Source organism: Homo sapiens, chromosome 2 (assembly GCF_000001405.40).
Source record: "Homo sapiens chromosome 2, GRCh38.p14 Primary Assembly".
Classification (NCBI taxonomy): domain Eukaryota; kingdom Metazoa; phylum Chordata; class Mammalia; order Primates; family Hominidae; genus Homo; species Homo sapiens.
Window position 1 is genome coordinate 168,168,139 of NC_000002.12, and position 21,070 is coordinate 168,189,208.

At 39.4% G+C, this 21,070-nt stretch overlaps 1 protein-coding gene across 7 annotated transcripts in view; it reads right to left on the minus strand.

Annotated features, from left to right (window-relative positions):
- The window catches only part of STK39 (serine/threonine kinase 39), a 293,574-nt gene that overhangs the window by 214,117 nt on the left and 58,387 nt on the right, over window positions 1-21,070 (minus strand). For all 7 annotated transcript variants that reach the window (NM_001410961.1, NM_013233.3, XM_047443944.1 and 4 more), the window contains exon 2: window positions 13,840-13,952. In NM_001410961.1, coding sequence (NP_001397890.1) covers window positions 13,840-13,952 — 113 coding nt within the window. The remainder of the gene's footprint in view (window positions 1-13,839; window positions 13,953-21,070) is intronic.

The window sequence follows — 21,070 nt, forward strand, 5'->3', positions numbered from 1 at the left end:
AAGAATGCTTTGTGGGTCACATCTTGGAAACACTGCTGTAGAGAATAAAATATATTTTATTCTTTGTTGTTTTATATAAAGACATAAAACAACAAAGCTGAGAAATAAAACAAAAGGAAACTTTCAATAAATCACATTTTTCTGGAATATTCAGTTTCATATTGATTTCAGTTTCTCGTTTTAAGTTATTGTCGGATGACTCCCATAAAAGCTTCAGTCTAATGTAACTCTCAATCAAAGGTACCAGACCAGTGTAACTCACTTTCAAGGTGCCATAAAAAGGACAAGAATAACCTAAATGATCAAAGAAACCTCATTTTTGCCATTATGTATTGATGAAAGAAGGGTACATTTATGCATCCTATGAATATATTCAATAATAATGAGCTTCACATTAACTCAAAGTTACCCAAGCAGAACATCTCAATTTGGACGTTATCTTTGCTTGTCCAGTACTGCCTAATCCTCATACTACTAAAAAGATCCTATATATCCGACAACTTGGCCAAAATTCTGTAATATGTAACACTCATACGTTCCTTAACATATATGTTTATTTAAAGTGCTTTTGGCTGGGGGCAGTGGCTCATACATGTAATCCCAACACTTTGGGAGGCCGCAGCAGGCGGATCACCCGAGGTCAGGAGTTCAAGACCAGCCCAGCCAACATGAGAAACATTGTCTCTACAAAAAAATTAGCTGAGTGTGGTGGTGTGCGCCTGTAGTCCCAATGACTGAGGAAGCTGAGGAACGAGAATCACTCAAACCCGGGAAGTGGAGGTTGCAGTGAGCTGAGATCGTGCCACTGGACTCCAGCCTGAGTGACAAAGCAAGATTCTGTCTCAAAAAAAAATTAAAAAATAATAAAAATGAAGTGCTTTTAACCAAAGATAAACTCCTTAGAAACTACTAATTTTTCTTTTTTCTTCTCAGTATATAACAATGATTTTCCTTCATCATTCCCCTCATCCATTTGACTGATTACAGGTTTTCTAAATCTGACACTTTTCAATTCAGCAACTCTTATCCTTTGAATAAGATCTGAAACCTGAGGTTCAGTTTCCATCTGTTTCCGGTATTAGGTTCTGATGCCATAAGACACTTCTGAAGGAGAAATGGAACACTGCCCTGGCCACTCCTATTTCAAGTCAATAGCATCTGCTCAGTGCGGGGATGGCCCACACTGAAGGTCTGTAGCATTAGGTAGGGTCCAGTTTAAACAGATGCCTAGTGTTCAAAGAAACGAGAACAATGTCTCTTAAATGCAGCTGCACTCTAAATGTAAGTGAATGCTTTTCTAGTGCTGTAACTCCAAACTTTTAAATAATTTATCAAAATGCACAAAACAACTAATGGTCATACAAAAGGAAATTCTTTTACATTGAAGGCAAGGTTGAGTCAGTCTAGAAAAACACACTTTTTAGCCCTTTGCATTTAGATGGCCAGTATCACTTCCCACCCAAAGTATCAGGTTCTCTGACTTTGCAGTGAGCGTGTGTGTGTGTGTGTGTGTGTGTGTGTGTAACTCCTTTAGAAAACCTGTAGAACCTATAGATATAACTTAGCAAATTCTATTCCTTCAAAACTCTGAGTCTTAGAGACACCATCTGGACATTAAAAGGTTCCAGAATTTAAATGAGTGGGGGATGAGGGGTCACAGATACTGCCACACCAACACAACCACAGGAGCAGTATAAGGACAGGTAAAAGAAGGGGCAGGGGGCCCAAGAGTGGCTTTCCATCAGTTTGATCACTCAACCTCACATTCTTCTTCCATGCAGCTGAGCCATCCCTCTTCACTTCTTGGCTAGGGGGGTCCATGTCCCCAACTCCTGCACCATCCATTGTCCTGCACAGCAGCTTTTCCACAAGCATTAATGCTTAAGGACATGATGAAACTCGCCTTAGGGAGAAACATCTGTAGCTCTGTCTTGAGATATGACCTATGCTATCACTGATCCCCAGGATAAGTAATATTTCCACATAGAAGAAAGTTAAAAACCTGAAAACTAGAAATCTTTCCACAAAACTATCCCCTCCATTCTTTTCAAAACAATGATGGGTGTTATTTGAAAGCTCCCTTGGTAACAATCTATTGGTTAAATTATCTAAGCTTCTCCTAATGCCCTAACCGCATTCATATGGTTAGGAAAAGACATTCATTACCAAGCATATTTGTTTGTCCCTATCCCTAAAAATGACAAAACTATTGCCTAAAGATGAACAATTTGAAAATATAAAAATGTTTTAGCTGATTCTTTCGACAGAATGAATGGGTTCTAACATCCTATTCTCTTAATTAGGTCACAACCCAAGGCAGAAGCGTGAGTTAAAGCGGTGCTTCCCTAATTTGGATGGGCATGCAGATCACCTCAGCAATTTGCTAAGATGCAGACTCCCATTCGGAAGGGCTGCAGTGCGGCCTGAGAATCTGCATTTCTAGCAGGCTTCCATGTGATGCTGATGCTGTGGGTCCAGAAACCAGACTTTGAGTGGCAAAGTGGTAGACTGAGCTTTGAAAGAAGGCAGAGAGGAAGGTTGGGGGATGTGAGAGGAGGGACACAGACGACTGCAAGGAAGCCGACAGTGTCAAAAGTGCCCAGTAGTGGGTCTGGCCGACAGTACTGCCTGGCTGAGTCTAACTGGAGGAGAGTCTAACTGGAGGAGAGGGGTAAGAAGCAAAGCTGGAAATAAGGGAGACTGTTGTACTAAAGTGGTGTGAATTTCACAAGGACAGAAAAGGGTAAAAACTTCATTGAGATTTAAAAAAGAAACGCAAGCAAACAAACAAACAAAAATCCCACGAGGTCAAAGATGGGAGAAACTACAGAACTCTGAAATGCAGGCAACACATTTGCCAAAAATATAGTCAAGGAATTGAACACAGTGGCTCCCTTGGAAACCGAGGAAATGAGACTTAGACATGTCACAAGCGCCAAACCAAGCTATGGCACAGTAGTTAATCTTCTCTGAGGCTGACAGAGCTGTTCATGCAGCTCCATCTGAAATGTATCACAAGTGAAATTTCACAAGAGTGGGAAGACCAACCTTAAAATGGGGTAGCATGGAAGATCCCCTATCCACCTGCTAGAACTGAAGTGGCAGCCACAGCAGCACCCCTCTGCAGGGAGCCATGTGCAAGAAAGACATATCAAAGAAGGACACCCACACACTGCTGTTATGCCAGCCCTGCAAAATTTGCCAAACCAGACATTACGCGCGTCATGCTAGGTGTGGTGAGGAATACAAAATAAAGTATCCTACCCTACAAATATGAGGAGTTGGGAGGAAAAAACTTCCCCTTCCCCCAAAAAATAACAGAACTGAAAATAAAAAAAGGGAAAAAAAAACTTAATTTTTTTTTTTTTAGACAATCTCATTCTGTTGTCCAGGCTGGAGTGCAATGGCGCAATCATAGCTCACAGAAGCTTTAACCTTCCTGGCTCGAGCAATCTTCACACTTCAAGCCTCCTGAGTAGCAGGGGGGATGAGCACATGCTATCACATCCAGCTAATTTTTAAAAATTTTTTGTAGAGACAGGGTCTCACTGTGTTGCCCAGGCTGGTCTCGAGCTCCCAGGCTCAAGCAATCCTCCTCCTTGGTCTCCCAAAGTGCTGAAATTACAGCTGTGAGCCACTGTACCCTGCCATAACTAAATATAATAAGAGATTTTCTCATATTGCTATATGGCCTTTCATTTCCACGCCCCCCCCACTCCCCCCTCCCCCCCACACACAAAACATTATTTCTCCTACAAATAGTACTGAGGCCAATCAGGAACTGTGACTAGCAAGGATCTGATCCTCCAGGATCTACTACTGAAGGGCCGCACTCTATGTCACAGCTGGCTTGGAAGCTTGGCCTTGCCATTTACTGGCTTGATTACCTAGGCGGGTTATCCAACAACTTTGAGCCTCAGTTTCCTTTTCTGTAAAAGGAGATTACTACTATCTACATGAGATTATTGTGAGGTAGGGGAAATGAGATGTATAAAACTCCTTGCAGAATGCCTAGCACATAACACAAATGTTCAAAGTTAATTCAGTCTGTTCAATGTCTCAGTTTCTTCGTTGCGTGTGAGCATCGCCCTAATCTCAAGTGTCCCAATTCCTGACTAAGCCTCAAAGGCACAGAGACAGACCATGGCAGCAGCCGTCACTTTTTCCAACAGAAATGTCACAGGACACATCTGTTGGCCCCACTGGCTCAAGGAGTTTGCTGTAATGCATGGATAGGTCATTTGGTCATGAATTTTTAACCTCTACATTGTCTCAACCCATGTTTTTCCTAATTTCACCCTGTATTTAATTTATACCACCTTGTCATACTTCATGTATCCTGGTAAACTGCCTCAAACTCTTTCGGAATAAGTTATCTAAATAGATACTTATGCAAAGGGTTCAGAACAAAGAGAAATAGTACAAGTTTAAAGATATAAGAATTAGGAAAAAGTTAAAACCTGATTTCTTTTGTTCCTAAGACCGTGAGATTCATAAAACACTAAAAGGAAAGAGATTTTTGTTACTGAAAGGGAAGAGTTTAAATGATTCTGAATTCAAAATATTAAACTATACTTAACCAAATTTGCGTATTTTACAACTTATGTAAATCCTAAATAAATTATTCTTTATCTGATAATGATGGCAAAATATCCTACTCAAGTACTTAGTTAAGAAATCAAACTTACTCAAGCTCCAAAATTGTATGCAGTTAAATCTGAGGAGATGCTTCTAACTTTATTCTAAAGCAATGGATCGCAACCTTGGCTGCATATTGAAATCACCTGGGGAGCTTTGACAAATACCCACACCTGAGTCCCGGCCCCAGGGAGGCTGCTGTAAATTGGTTTAGGAGACAGCCTGGGAATGAAAATTTTCAGAAGCTCCCAGGTGGTTCTAATGTGCAGCCACAGCTTAGAACCCCTACTTGCGAGCTAAGTGCTGAAATGTATTTTTCTTTCAATGAAATGGTGAGAGAAACATGTAGCTCCCAGGCACGTTTCCCCACTGCAATGTAATCTATGTATGATGTACAAATATTATCAAATAAAACATCTACTTCCAAATGCAAGAGATGACCAAATACATCTGTAAAATGTATGCAATACCCTCGAAACATTTAAAGAATTCTTTAAATGGTATAGGAGTAATCTTGTTAAATAAAAACACTTTTCAGAAAGTCTTTCTCCAGCATGCACTTCTTTTAGCAGCATTATGAAAGGTAACCTAATCAATATTCACAAATAACCGAATACTGTTAAGTAGCAGGTTTAACCAAAAACAAATTTCAGTGATTTCAAACGTCAACCAAGGCATGGAAGAACAGGATTAACAAGGTCTTAGAAGAGCAATGTATTTTTCTGGACTGTCATTTTCAATCATGAAAATGTCATTGTGAATTTTTTTATTTATATTTATATTTATTTATTCATTTTGAGATGGAGTTTTGCTCCTTGTTGCCCAGGCTAGAATGCAATGGTGAAATCTCGGCTCACTGCAACCCCTGCCTCCTGGGTTCAAGCGATTCTCCTGCCTCAGCCTCCTGAGTAGCTGGAATTACAGGTGTGTGCCACCTAATTTTTGTAGTTTTAGTAGAGATAGGGTTTCACCATTTTGGCCAGGCTGGTCTTGAACTCCTGACCTCAGGTGATCCACCTGCCTCAGCCTCCCAAAGTGCTGGGATTACAGGCGTGAGCCACCGCACCCAGTCATGAATTCTTTTAATTGCAAAAAATGATATACCATTTATACAGCAAACTCTTGCCTCCTTTATAAGAAAAGTACCAGCAGAGAAAAACCTATTCAAGGAAGTCAAACATTTTGTCTTGTACCACTTACAAATCAATCAACGAATGTCCTTTGCCACTTAACTTTACAATTATTTTCATGTGATTTGGTATCTGAGTTTAACCAAGTATAGTCCAATGGAAGGCAGGTTTACAAATGGGAACTAGGTATTTTGAAGAAAGAGAAACATTTTTAAGAAATAGAAACATTTTTAAGAAATCAGGAAAAGGAAAGCATAAATTTTGTGATAGCCTTAATTGGTGTTTGTAGAGAAGTTTTTAAAACTAGGGAGAAGCAGTTATAAAAAGTGTAAAGTGTCAGGGCAATTGAAGGTCTGGAAAATCTCTCAGAAGTAGCAGAGAAATCCCGATGGGCAAACGTCTACTTGCTAACGGAACAGAATGAATATCCCAAGGCCTACTTGCTTCGTTATAATGTCATGAAATTGCGTGCTCTGCAAAAACTGTCCTAAAAAATTAAAATTCGCTTGGAAGTGAAGAAGCCACTTATTTTTTTCAAATGAAACAAGGGGGAGAAAGCAAAAAATACAGTAGTGATATTGAAATACTATATGAAAACTCAATAGGAAGATGCCATTTTCTTTTATAGTTAGCTAAAAAAGTTATTCAACAAACAATAATGATGTCTTTTGGGCTCTAAAAGTGCTGAGGGTGCCACAGTGGAATCAGACTCACACTCAGGTATGAACAATCGCTTTTTGACCATTAAATTGTGACTGGGAATACTGAAAAAATTCAAATTGAAGATGTCATTAAAAACAGAAATAGATGGCCGGCCTGGTAGCATGCACCTGTAATGACAACTACTCACCAAGCTGAGGTAGAAGGATCACTTGAGCCCAGGAGTTCGAGGGCAGCCTGGGCAACATAGCAAGACTTCATCTCTTAAAAAAAAAAAAAAAAAAAACACCCAAGAAACCAGAAACAGAAACAGGAAGAACTTTTCTTGTCAGCCAAATTGTACTGCTGGAAACCTAGAGGCCAACTTTTACCACTGCTGCTGTATTTGGGTTCACCACCACACAGTGACAATGTAGGGTGTAATGTGTCTTCTTTTTGTGGTATCGCCTGTGGCACCCTGGATACTGTGTGCCATCTGGGGTTCTGCCAGGGAACAACCCTCCTGCAGCCTCCTCTTAATACTCTCCAACCTTCCTCCTGAGGATTCCACAGCCCTCCTTTTTCAGCAACAGCTTAATTAATTATGGAAATAACGAAACCAAAATAAGAACGACAATAACATAGGAAAGAACTAAAGCATTTGTCTCAACCTAAGCAACATTTTCCTGAAGTCTAGAAGAAAGGCAAAAGTGAGATATTTAAAAAGTGAGATGTAACTAAAATTATATTCAATCTGGGCATGTTTTCCCCATTTTCTCCTACTCTGAAAATGAGTATGTGCTGGGTCCCTGTTACTGAAAACATATAAGCCCCAAAACATAAGTGTTTTTGCAATGTTAATTTTTGCTTACTTTCTGAAAAAAAAGCATGAGAGGTTAGACATTTTAATGAGCTATTTCTAACAAATGTAGAAAACAATTAAAAGTAAATTCAATTAGTATATTTAATTAGTATCCGAATAAGCTACATAACTTTTAAATTTGATGTTCCAAAAATAAAAGTTGTTTTCTCCAACCAAATTATACATGTTCCTAAGCTAATACAACTTTAGTGCTCTAAAAATGTTAGTTTTGCATATACAGTATAGTATTTATTCTCCAATTCGTTAAGAATGTTTTTGTGCTTTCAAAATAAACAAAAATTTTCTATTTCCAATCCTGCCCTCATTTGGACTATACCTGGATAAACATAAACACCAAATTACGTGAAAATAGTTACAAAGCTAAGTTGCAAGAAAAAGATAACAGTACAAAATTTAATGGCCGAGACTTGAAATGCTCGAAATAGTACTACAAAATATATTAAAATAATTACAAAACTAAGTGGCAAGAGACAGATGACAGAACAAAACTTAATGGTTGAAACCTGAAATGCTCAAAACTATACTATATTCAGTGAAGTAGGCTTGCATGCTAATGCTATATCCTTAATATAAAAAACTCTACAACAAATAGCTAAATGCAATTTGTTACCACATACGATGAATGAGCTGGGATATGAATTATTAATGTACTAATTAGAAAATTCTTAACTTCAAAAAGAATGGAAACATACTTTCGTTGATGCGATAAAGAAAACACACACATACAAAATTATACTGTTTTAGGGTCAAATTAAAAAGATGGAAGTTTTTTAATCACTATCTTTCTAGAATAAACAAGCTTTGCAAAAGTATTAACATAATTCCATAAATTTGCTAAAACACTGCAAACAAGGTTTTGAGAGTTTCTCCCCCCCTTAAACCTCAATTAAAAGGAAGAGAAAAAAAAAACCTTCTGACTGGAGGAACTGCTCAGAGGTCACCAAATCTTTTAATTTAAAAAGGATGAGAGCAACCTGCATCAGATAATGGTTAGGAATAACAGTTCTTCTCAAATGATCATCAAGCCACGAAGATATCTAGAGCTTTATTCTCCAATAACCCACAAATCATAGCTAACTCATTTTTCTAAGGAGAGGGAGGTGACGGAGGGAGTGAACAGTAGATCAAGAGAAAGGAAAAACAACAAAACAACGCTACAGCAGAAAGCAAAATGAGGGCAGTGGCTTTGTTCTGAGGAAAAAGTTCTTGATTTTATCTATAAATATTGTCAGTGAGTTAGACCAAAATCCCTAGAGAAAGATGATACAGGAAGAAAAAAGCAGATGACAGTTGAAGACTACTGAATGACAGAGAAACTCTTTCATTATGTTCATAGGAGAAAAAAATGATACACTGTGTACCCAAATCTATGAATTTACAGTAGATTTCTGCTATCATACCGTAATGCTAAAGTGACTTGACTCTATCCTGAATTACCATGCATGATTTGCTAGTAATTAGTATTTTTATTTAAGTGAATTGAAAAGGGGGTTTTGTTAATATACTTTTAAATACATAGATTCATAGCACTTGGGTAATAAAAATAAAATTTTGCCAGAATTTGTCATCACACAAATAAGGACCAGTGGTGAAACTGATTTTTCCAGAATGAGCAGTTCTGTAGGGGAGTCAAGCAAAGAAAGCAAGTCCCCTGACCCAGGGAGTTCCTTTCCTTCTATCAAAGGATCAACATTCATCACTTTTTTATAGCCATGGTTTTCTTGAAATGACTTTGTTCACATATGGAATTCACATATGGAAATTATGGAATGAGCATTCCATAATTTCATAACGTAATCACTTAATTATTTCTTTCATTTTTTTAATGACACAAATGCTTTGCCTCGTCCCCGGGCCATGATTTCTCCTATGACTCTCCTGCCCCTGAGAATTAAACTGTAAATTTTGATGGCATTGATGTATGTGTAGGAATGAGCAAATGAGGCTGAATTTTCTGTGAATGGGTACCAAAGGCAGACTAGAAATATGAGAACTTGAGGCAATAGGAAAAAATTGAAAGGGATCTATTTAAAGTCTAAAAGTCATAAAGTCAAATAAGGTGATGAACCAAAATGTTCATCAATCCCTGAATAAAGTAGAGTAACCTGAACATCACAAAAAGTGGGGTTAGGGTAAATAGAAGGAAGGACTGTTATATTTATGGAGTTCATTTTGTCACCTGGTGATAGAGGCTGAAAAGACACATGACTTCAAGAAAAAGCACTCATGCGATGGATTTTAAGGGAAGTCAAGAGTGCCCCAGGGTAGCATCCCTAGCCTTTGAGGTTGATCACAAACCAGAGAGCCAAGCTCTAGCAGGAAACCTCAAGGCCATCTTGACACAGAATATACTAGTTTGCAAGACAATGGGTCAGACCCATTGGGCAAATCTTAAATTCCTATTGGAAAGCAGGAACTCCCTCAAGGGAATACATATTAGACAAAAGTAAACTGTCTAGTCATCTGCTAAACCATTTCTGGGCAAATAAAGACAAAAGGTCCAGAAAAACATCCCTTAGTTCAAAAATCTCACCAACCCAAAACAAAAATGAAGAGACTCATTCACTAGTCCATGGTCTCCCCCAAAAATAGGAATCCATTCTGTTTTCCCATCACCAAAGTCAGTGCCTAGCATCTAAGGGGGTTTGATAATTCTGGTGTTAACAAGTTCTGCTCTAAAACTGTAAGTATCTCCTAGAGAGCATTAAACTAGTTATAATTAGTCATTTACACCATGATGGGCTTGACAAATGTGCAGTTAACAACAAATGTGGGGTTAACAAATTTCAGAAATTACCAAAGCATCTATGTTGGCACAGTAAGGAATACAGAACAAACCAGAACATATCCTTGGCTCCTGGAAAACTAAACACTAAGATCATTATACCTTCAGAGATCAGAGTACAGTTAAAAGGCCAAACTCCAAAACATACATGAAAATTCAAAAGAATAAATAAAAAAGGATTAGATTAATTGCTATTCATATCATACCAAGAAAAACATTTATTTGGGAGTGTTCTAATCTAATTGCTGTTAAACTAAAATGAATTTTTAGTGGGCATAAAGCCTTGTACTCTCATATACACACCCAAAAGTCATCCTTTTGATGGGCTTAAGCATAATACAGAAACTCAGTAAGTATTTACCAAATAAATAAATAAATGCCTATTTGATCTGTAACTAACTTATCTTTACAGAATATTACAGTACTCATTTCAACAGTATAAATCTGAATCATCAATTATTTAGCACCAATGAGCTCATCTAACACTTCTTTTCCTCTCCTCATTCACAAAGAAGCTGACACTGTAATTAGCACTTCCCTTCAGAAATGATGACTGCTTGACTCCTTCTTCAGCAAACCCTGGATCCAGCTCTGTGACCTACAGGAAACTCAACTGACAGCCCCTACCACATAAAGAAGTCGAGTTCTGGACCAGTTGCCTAAAACTGTTGTGTGCCATCAATTCTGACCTGTGTGTGTAAATCCCCCTTTATTATGGGACAAAGGGAGTGGGGACAGGACGGGGATAGGTAGTCAGTGGGGGCTGAGCTGGGAGTCGGGGTCAGGAGGTGTTACAGTTTCATCAAGGGAGAAACATGTCCCAGTGGCCAACAAATAGTTGATAATTGTGATTTCTATGACATAACACTCTCACAAGAAGAGATCCCAGTGGCCATTGTTTCTTCTAGGAACAATGGTTTCCAGTTAACACATGGCACAGTCTGTGAGACGATGCAGTGCACTGACCTGTATATAATACACACTCATGGAATTAAAGGATTATTAGGATACCAGATGTCCAAACACTGCCAAAATGTGAGCCCTCTGAAATAATAAAAGTGCAAGCAACAGCAGTATTAGACATTGAAAAGATGACAGCAACTGTGCTCCACACGATCTCATGTGCCAATAACTGGGCCACAGAAGCCTGGCAAATCAGGCAGGCTATACTCTGTAAATTCTATTTATTTTTGTTTGAAAACGACCTGGGAGTTGTACATCCTAAAGAACCATAGCCATTTCCCCCCTCTCTAAATATATCAACACACCAAAAGGTCAAAGATTCAAGGGTAAGGAAACATCAAAGCAATAAATCAATATAAAATGAAAAATAAATAATGCAAATATATTATACTCTATTGCAACACGGGCATTAAGGAAAGAAAATAAGAATGAGAAAATAAATTAACTCCTCATAAGCAAACTCATAAATCCTAAGACCTCAGACGAATGGAGCAAAGCACAAAGCCACAAAAGCACCAGTCCTTAGATAGACAGCTCTACCTAAGTTACAAGTAGCTCCAAATGACACTGCTATGCTTACTGGTTCCAGGAAAACAAAGGAAAGAAACCAGAATGACCAGCCTCCCTGCTGACCTCCACCCAGAAGCTTACACGGTTACCATCACTGGACACTGTGGAGGAAACGCTAGCAGAGGGAAACGTGAAGGCTGTGGGCAACTGAGGGCTTGGTAGAAACCAGAGACCATAGCATCAAACCAGAAGGCAGGCTCCAGAACTGTCAGGCACAAGTACACGCAAGCCTTACACATATTCTGTATCAATATTCTGCTAATGGCAAAAAAAATGGCTGAGACCTCTAACAGAATACCACAATCAAACACAAGTATCAGCCAGGTGCGGTGGCTCACATCTGTAATCCCAGCACTGTGGGAGGCCGAGGCGGACAGATCACCTGAGGTCAGGGGTTCGAGACCAGCCTGGCCAACATGGCGAAACTCTGTCTCTACTAAAAATACAAAAATTAGCCGGGCGTGGTGGTGCATGTCTGTAATCCCAGCTACTCGGGAGGCTAAAGCAGGAGAATCGCTTGAACCCAGGAGGCGGAGGTTGCAGTGAGCCAAAACCACACTGCTACACCCCAGCCTGGGCAACAGAGTGAGACTCTGTCTCAAAAAAATACAAAAAACAAAAACACAACTATCACTGGCAAATTCTTGAGTGATACATCCAAACAGTACATATATTTAAATGCACACTCCAAATTTTTTTTTTAAATGTTAAAGTACACTTATGCATAGCCACAGAATTTCAGGATTCCTAAAGGGATCTTAGAAGAAAACTTCCAATTCAACTCTTTTTAAATCGCGCAGAGCTGTTGTGTAACTCTACTAAAGTGAAAACAAGTTTAGTGGCAGAAGCAGGACCCAACTCTCCCCACAGTTTATAAAATGCGTTTTCCAACTCAGAGAAAGTGACCTTGAAAACTGGTTGGGTGACAAAGGCACAATATTACTGGTCACTAAGATAGCAAGCAACAGACAAGTAGCATGCAGCAGGAATTTCAGTAAGAGCAAAGCACAGCTGAAATTTCAAGGCCGTTAAAAGCCTTGAATGTATGCAAATTTCAAAAATTAACATTAAATTGTGGAAGCCCTGGTTCTCTTCTGAGTTTTAGCCGGCAATCCATTGCTTCAATAAAACCCAATGAAATCTATGCATTGTGTAGCCTAATTTAAAATGTAAGGCCAAACAGATCTGGAAAAGTACAGCTTTATCCTTGTACTTAATTTATACTATAGTGTACTGTAATTAAGCCTAAAATAAAAGCTATATTCTGAGTAAAGACAAAAAGCTGTTGTTAATGACATTCCATTCTCAATGTAGACTGTAACAAAAGGCTTCTTCATTTGCAGCCAACTGTCATTATACTTTGTAGCTTGTATGGAGCTACTGGACTAATATTTGTACTGGGATTAGTGTGGGGATAACCAATCAGTTAACTCCTCCACTGCAGTTTTCTATTATCCTCAAATAAATGGCCAAAAGGGAAAAAAAGAAAATTGGCCGGTAGAACAACAACGATATTTATGAGATTAAACCCTCAAACCCTTCACAGTTTGCCGGGCAACTAATAACCATTTGCCAAGCTGTTCATTTAATAATGAGTCAGCTAAGCCAAAAGCAAATGTTCCTTCAACCAACCATTGCTACTATAGTCATATCCACACTGACAAGCTCCAATTATTTATATAAAGTACTCATTTAGAATAAGAAGTACAAATTGCCACGTTAAGAAAAACAAACTCCTCTCATTAGCCAAATGCAAGCTACAGAGCATTTAAAAAAAAAATAACTCAAATTTGTGTGATGCTATAATTTATGAAAGCTAAAATGACCAACAAATAGTTTGGGGGACAACTTCCATTTGTGTCACACATTCTAGATGGAGGGCCAGAAGCTCACCATCCAAAACTGCAGTCAGTAATCCTGTCATGTTAGGTCACGCCACAGTGTGTGCCCTTGATACAGCAAGTGGAGTGCCAACGCTGAGGCCATTCTCACCTTGGGATTATTCGAACTGAGCAAAATACTGTTTCTCAAAGCAAGGGAAGGTGTTCATTATACAACACAATCATAAGGTACAGTCCCATTAATCTGGGGAGCAGGAAGTGGTAGGGGCTGCTTTCCAAGAAATGCATATGTCAAAACTGGAGATAACACCTTGCTCTTCTCCCAACCATCCCCATATACCCATAGATTAAGAAAAGCAACCAGCAGGTATTCCCTGCACTGTTACTTACTAATAGTTCATCCATACTGGTCTGGCATTTTTCCAAGTTGATCCGTTTTATTGCTACACGTTCTTGCCTGGGTTTGCATAGGGCTGCCTGAACCACAGCAGTAGCTCCACTGCCTGCAATGAAATAAAAACAACATCAGCGATCAAATGGCACACTGTGAGGTTACTATCTGTAACTATTTTCCTAAAGATCAATTTTTTTAAACTCTTCTACTCAGCGTATTCAGAACATTACCATTTGACATCTTTTTTTTAAAGAGTTTCTTAAATCCTAAAATAATTATCTGGAGGAGAAAAAAAAAACTGCATTTTCCAGACAATGTATGTCTGAGGACACAGGGGACAAGGGACATGAGCATCTACATACAACCTTGCATGAAAGCCATTTCCATCCTCAGTTCCTGGTATTTTCTAGCTTGAGTGCCTTTAAAATATCTCAAGCTCTTCTTCCACCTCAGCCCAAACCAAACCACTCTGGTCTAAGCTACTTCAAGGCTTTCATGAGAAGCTGAGATAATTGATGTTTGAACACTCTTTGGGCTTATTTCTTCAGAGCTTGCTCCACAATGAGAAAAACAAGAATCAACCCTAGTATTCTCATGTTGAAAGCACAACTTTCAAGGATGCCAAGCAAAATGATGCAAATGTGTAATTACAAAAGCTCTTGACATTCATATAAATTTTCTATTTCTAAGGTTTCATGATCATTAGCTAATGCACTCAGACTCCTAAGAGACAGAGTCATGTCATTATCCATATTTTATAAGAGCAAAATGTAGACATGTAATGATTTGCGGCAGAGCACAAAAGAACTCCTAATCGGCTTTATACTCCATAGGGGCAAAAAGGTTTTCAGGTTAAGGCATCTCAATTCTGCAAATAACACCAAAACTGCCATTCTCATCACATAAATCCTCTACCACTGCAAGATAGCCAACAACAGAAACAGCCTGCACTCAGGATTGTGCAAAGGTGGTCAGAGGTGACAATCTTTCTCCCTAAAGTTTTTCTTCAGGTAATACTTCTCAAATGATTCATCAAATAGCATCATAAAAGGGAAAGCAGGGGAGTATTTGGCAACAAGAGAGATCAGTATTAGCCTTCCTAATTTATGTGATAGAAAGGCATGACATTTCTAGTGCGAATCAGGGCTTTCCCACCCCAAGGAAGGGCCCAAATGGGTGTTTACAGGGGTGAAGCTCTGCCCTTTCTTCCGCCCTGTGGCCTCATCATCAGGTTTGGCCCCCGACTTGGCAACCCCAGCAGATCACCCTACTCCTCCAAACCCAGGTCTCCAACTTAAAGACTACCATTCCAGGGAAGCCCAATTTGTGTTCACTGGGAAAGAAAATCCACACACACATACTGACCACCCACTGCACAGTAGACACTTGACTCCTTATGAGCCTGTACATTTTTATTACTAGCCTCATTTTACATGGGAGAAAACCGGGACTCAGAAAACTTGCCCAAGGTCACATAGAGCTAATAAGTACCTGAGCCAGTATCAGCATCACGCCTGCCAGACTCCGAGATGTGTGCTTTTGTTCTACTTCCCACAAGCCAGAGCACATGCTTCCCTTCCTCACTTGTTTTGGCCTTGCTAGGAAAAAACTTTCTTCCATCCTATATGGTTCAACAGAAGACAAACAACCCAGACCAGGGTCTGCATGAGCCTCATTTGCTAGAGCTGTTTGGGAAGAGAGTGCTATGGACAGGTTGCTTCAAAGGGCCTTCCTCTCCCTAATCTCACTGCTCATCCATCAGCTGCTACCCCATTGGCTGCTACTCCAGGTCCCACTAGTTTGGCTTCACTGGCCCTGCAGATCACAGCCCACTGGGTTCAATCCAGAATGGTCCAGATGGCAGAGCCAAACAATACAAAAAGTCTGCTGATAGCAAAGTATATTTTCCAGTCTCCGGAACAAGACACTATCACTGAAGGGAGCCACAGAGAAAGTGCTATGCAGCTGGTTAGCACTGGGCCTGGTACCCAGCAGAGAAATCAACTAACATCTTTAGCTGCTGGTGGGAAACCATCCTCAGCTCTACCTGCAATAAATCTCCCCCCAGCTCAGCTTCTCCATCCTTAATCTACATTCCAGAACATTCACAAATCAAGGAGTTTCAAAAACAGGAAAGAATAAATTAATTCCCAGAAAGGACAAAACAAGCGTATGTAATACAGAGATACCTCTCATAGTTAAGTCCTTGACAGTAAAAGTCTCCTAACCTCCAAGGAACAAAAAATAAGAATTCTAAAAACATGGAGGGGTAGGTGGTGAGAAAAATCTTTTATTAAAGCTTTACAGCTAGAGAATTGTTACTGCTTTACAACTACAGCTAACTAAGGAACGACTGGCTACTTCTCATCTCTAGACAGAATTATGAAGCTTTGTGACCTGAGATCATTGTCACAACATGGATGGATTTAACCATTCATTAAACAGTTTGGGAGATTCTACTCTAAATCCAAAGATTTCCCTTCAACTATAGAAGAGACCAAGAACAAAGTTAAAGGTGGAAAGGCACCTTAGAGAGCATCAAGTCCAACCCACCCCCTCACTTTATGAATGAGAAAACAGGGTCCTGTGAAGGATAGGGATGTGTTTCCTGCAGCAATTGGAAAGCACAGGATTAGGACCCTAGGCATACTTATTCCTTATCTACCATTCTGTGCACCAGGTTGGTGTTTTTTCAAATTGCCAGTGAGGATCCACTGGTCACAAAATCAACTAACTGGGTGGAGGCCAGCATTGTTTAAGGGAAGCATCAGAATGTAATAAGGGTAAAAACTGCTTTATGAAACTTTTGTTTCACTTACGCCCAAGCTTTAGTATGACATGTTTTACTGTAAGTGATGATCAAAAGTTTGGAGTCTGCTAGTACTAGATTAGGATTCCCAGGATTAGAGTAAATCCATGCTTTGAAAGGAAAGGAGGTGACCTAACTGCATAATTCTAAAGGACATTTAGAAATAATACCAACACTGTCTTGCTTTAAGGGTTTTTATGCACTTTGCTGATTAGTTTAAGAGGAAGCTAAAAAATGTGGGGCTTGTAAATACAGGAACTGGACAAGTGTTAGCAACATGAAATAAAATAAGAGCAATTACTATGCTGAACAGCACCTTGTATTTATTTTGAACAATATATGATACTGACACATGACTCATTAACATTAGTAGCATATTTTCAATGAAGTATCATGCACCCCTTTTGGAATAAGAGTTCTTAACATTTTATGAATTTCTCATTTTATTCCTGACTCCTATTTCAAGTGCAATAAATCATTCAATAGGATTATGGCCTGTATGCACATATGCACAAGTTAAGTGGGCACGGCTTTAAATCTTTTCAGTTCACTCTTTTAAGTCACTCTATCTCAATTCACTTTTGCTAAGTAATTCCCGACTAAGAACAGCTACTTGGAAGTTTTAGATAGTGATTATGTCAATGGCAATCAGAGGTAAGAGATTGCTCACGTTCATTACCATGATGCAGATTTTTCCTTTAGTTGACACCTCTTCTCATTTTCCCCTCTGTACTGCTGCTGGTATTAAGGTAAATAACCAGAACACTGCATACCTGCATTTTATACTTTCAGTTATCCAAAGAAATATTTCATGGAAATATAATTTAGTATTCTAACTTTGCATTTCACTAAGGTCTATGTGAAATTAACATGAAAAACTACAGTGTTTATTTTGCAAAAATCACTACTATTGTCAAATGCAGTTTCAACAGTATGTTCAAAGTCCCTACTCCCATGACTCACACAATAACTTCCTCTTTGCATTTAGTGCATTTAGTGCAAAAAAGCAGCAAAAAGATATTTGCTTATATTAATTCATCAACAAACAGTAATTAAATCCCTGCCATGTAGCAGGCAGTTCACTAGATAATAAAGTGCCAAAGGTGACCATTCCTGCTTCAAGTGGAATAAATCCTTCTATAGGATCACTTCCTCTGCAGAAGTTAACAGGGATGACTAAAATGCTGTTGTGGACTGAATGTCTGTGTTCCCCTAAAATGTCTTTGTTGAAGCCCTAATCCCCAATGTGACTATATTTAGAGATACAGTTAACAGATAATTACCACCTTTATGGAGGTAATTAAAGGTTAAATGAGGTCATCAGGACAGAGCCCTGGTCCAATAGGATTAGTATCCTTACAAAAAGAGACAATAGAGAGCTTACTTTCCCTCTCTGTCCTATGAGGACACAGCAAGAAGGTGCCTGTTTACAAGCCAGCAAGAGAGCCCACCAGAAACTGAAGTGGTCAGCACATTGATCTGGACTTCCTAGACTCCAGAACTGTGAGAAATACATTTCTGTTGTTTAAGCCACTCAGTATATGGTATTTTGTTACAACAGCCCAAGCAGACTAATACAAAAGCCTTGAAATGTCTGTTCAAAGTCATTCTTCCACTAACACCTATGGCAGAGAATGCCATACTAATTAGAAGTTCTTAGAAGCTTCCTGATTAAGTCAACAGCAAATGGCAAGATTCAACTGAAAGGCCTCTGGTAGCTCATTGTAGTTCCCATCTTAGGTTAGTAGGAGCCTTGAAAAGAAGGTTAGACAGGGATTCTATCCAAACGTGGTATTGATTCCCTCTGTGACTTTCGACCTAACTGCTATCTAGACTTCAGCTTCCTTAATGGGCATAATAAAATACACCTTTAAGGCTTCATAACATAATATATTTCACATCCCTGGAAAACATCAACTCAATAAATGTTAGGCTCTCTCTCTGGGACTCATTTCTCCATCTGTGACATAAAGGAGGTAAACTATATCTACTGTTTATATGGCACCCAAGGGAAAAGAGGGCAAAGTGGCTCAGGGTCAGAACTGAGTTTCATTTTGCTTAGCACCAGGAAGATTAGACTGGTTTAAAAGAGAGGCTAGGAGAGCTAAATTTGGAAACCAAAGAACTAAATGATTTCTAAAGTCTGATACAGCATGATGAGCATAAGAGTTTAAAATATAAGAGACAATCCAATTCAGAAACAGCTGTGAATTAATATTCCATAGCAAAGATTGTCATGTATAATGCACTTTGATATCTAACCTTAAAAAGTTATTTTAAGGCCGGGCATGGTGGCTCACGCCTGTAATCCCAGCACTTTGGGAGGCCAAGGCAGGTGGATCACAAGGTCAGGAATTTGAGACCAGCCTGACCAGCATGGTGAAACCCCGTCTCTACTAAAAATACAAAAATTAGCCAGGCATGGTGGTGCATACCTGTAATCCCAGCTACTCAGGAGGGTGAGGTGGGAGAATCACTTGAACCCGGAAGGTAGAGGCTGCAGTGAGCTGAGATCATGCCACTGCACTCCAGCCTGGGTGACAGAGTGAGACTCCATCTCAAAAAAAAAAAAAAGTTATTTTAAAATATCTATGTCAATCCAGATTGCATGGGTTCATATCCCAGACCTGCCACATACTAACTGCTTATGCTTGGATGACTTGCCTAACTTCTTCATGCCTCAGTTTCCTCATTGGTAAGACGGCAATAATGCTACTTCACTCATAGAGTGGTTGTGAGGATTAAATGAGTTAACACAAAAAAAGTCTTTGAAACTGTGCCTAGCACATAGTAAGCACTAATTAAATCTTAGCTAGCGTTGCTCCTTAGGGAAATCCCCCCAGGTCAACTGGTGTCCTGTCAATCTGTCATTTTAATACCACGTAATATTTCATAGTATTAATGTACCATAATTTATTCAGCCCTCCTTCTGTTGATGAGTATCCCCTTTATTTCTAGTTTTCATCCCCATATGAACAATGTAGCAATAAACATCTAGTACTTTTTTTAAAAAAATTAGTCCATAAGAACTTTACGTTAAAGTTAAGACGTCAATTGTCCAGTAACCCCTTCCCATAAATGGCAAGATTTTTTTCAAGGCATCACATTAGCCTGTAACATTAGTTATGGCCCCTGGAAGGAAGTTCTAATCACCATATTATATTTAAATGAGAAGCACAAAGTTGGAACTTTAATAAGAGTTTGACCATCTCTTAGCACGTGCAAGAACTCCTTAAGTATGCTCAGCTGTCCTTTGCCAGTGAACAGAGTCAAGAGTGGGCTCAGGCTTTCTTTTTAGAGGTGCTAGCTGGTGATGGATAGTAAACAAAACAAATGGCTTTGGTTCAGCTGATTTATTCTAATCCTGCCTTTCCCCAGCTTACTCTTTGAGCTCTATTTATATCATGTGTCCAACCTCAAAGCCCACAGGCCAGTCAGTCACATGAGGACCAGAAGCTGGCCAGGAGAGGACTTGGATGAATGGACACACATGTGAGCTCTACAGGAGTACAAGTGCCACTCTGCTTCAGCCAACTGTCACCATCTGAGATCGCTGACCTGGCATAGCAAGACAGTCAGAATTTTGCAGAAAGGCTGAAAATCCAGAATTCTGTGTGACATCTCCTAATACAATAAGGTTGACGATTAATTTTTTAATTATAAAAGCATTGTGAGTCTAATAAAAGTTCACCACAGACTGTTATTTTGCCTGAGTGTGTTACTGCTATTCGCCTTCAAAGGTACACCCTTCCTTACTTGATGGTCCCAATTTTAAGTTATTAGATTGCAAGTGTGAAATTGCCATTTTTCTACATCAAAAATGTTCATGTCATATGGTTCAACATAGTATGAGCATGTACTCGGCACATTGACCCAAACTGATCTGCTACATGTCACCATCCTCCTCGTCTTACTATTTCACACAGAAAGAAAACCTTATCACAGCGACTCTTCTGTCATCTGGTGCATTCTATGTGGCAGGAACATGTGCACAGTGCAATCTCAAGTCAAAGACAAAGAACAGTAACGGTGAGACACACACAACTTGCCCTACGCATTAATTTATAAAACAGACGCTCCTGCTGGCCTGTCTGGATAACAGTGCACAAACCGCTCGCCTCCACTGAGCCCAGTGCAGCAAGACCATGTTTCTCAAGGCAGCTACAAACTGGTGACCCTCCTAAGTGACCTGGCTTGTGTCACCACCAAGCTGACTGAGTTTTGTCCTTCTGCCTCCGTCAAAAGAACAAGTTAGTAGAGCCTCCTTCCAGGGTTGCTGGAAAAGATTTAGAGCTTACCAAAAAAATAAAATAAAATAAAACATAAAAAGCAAACAGTAGGATGAGGTGGATTAATGGCCACTCAGTGAAATGTACTTATGTTTCACCACTGACCTGGATAAACTATCTTACCTGAGA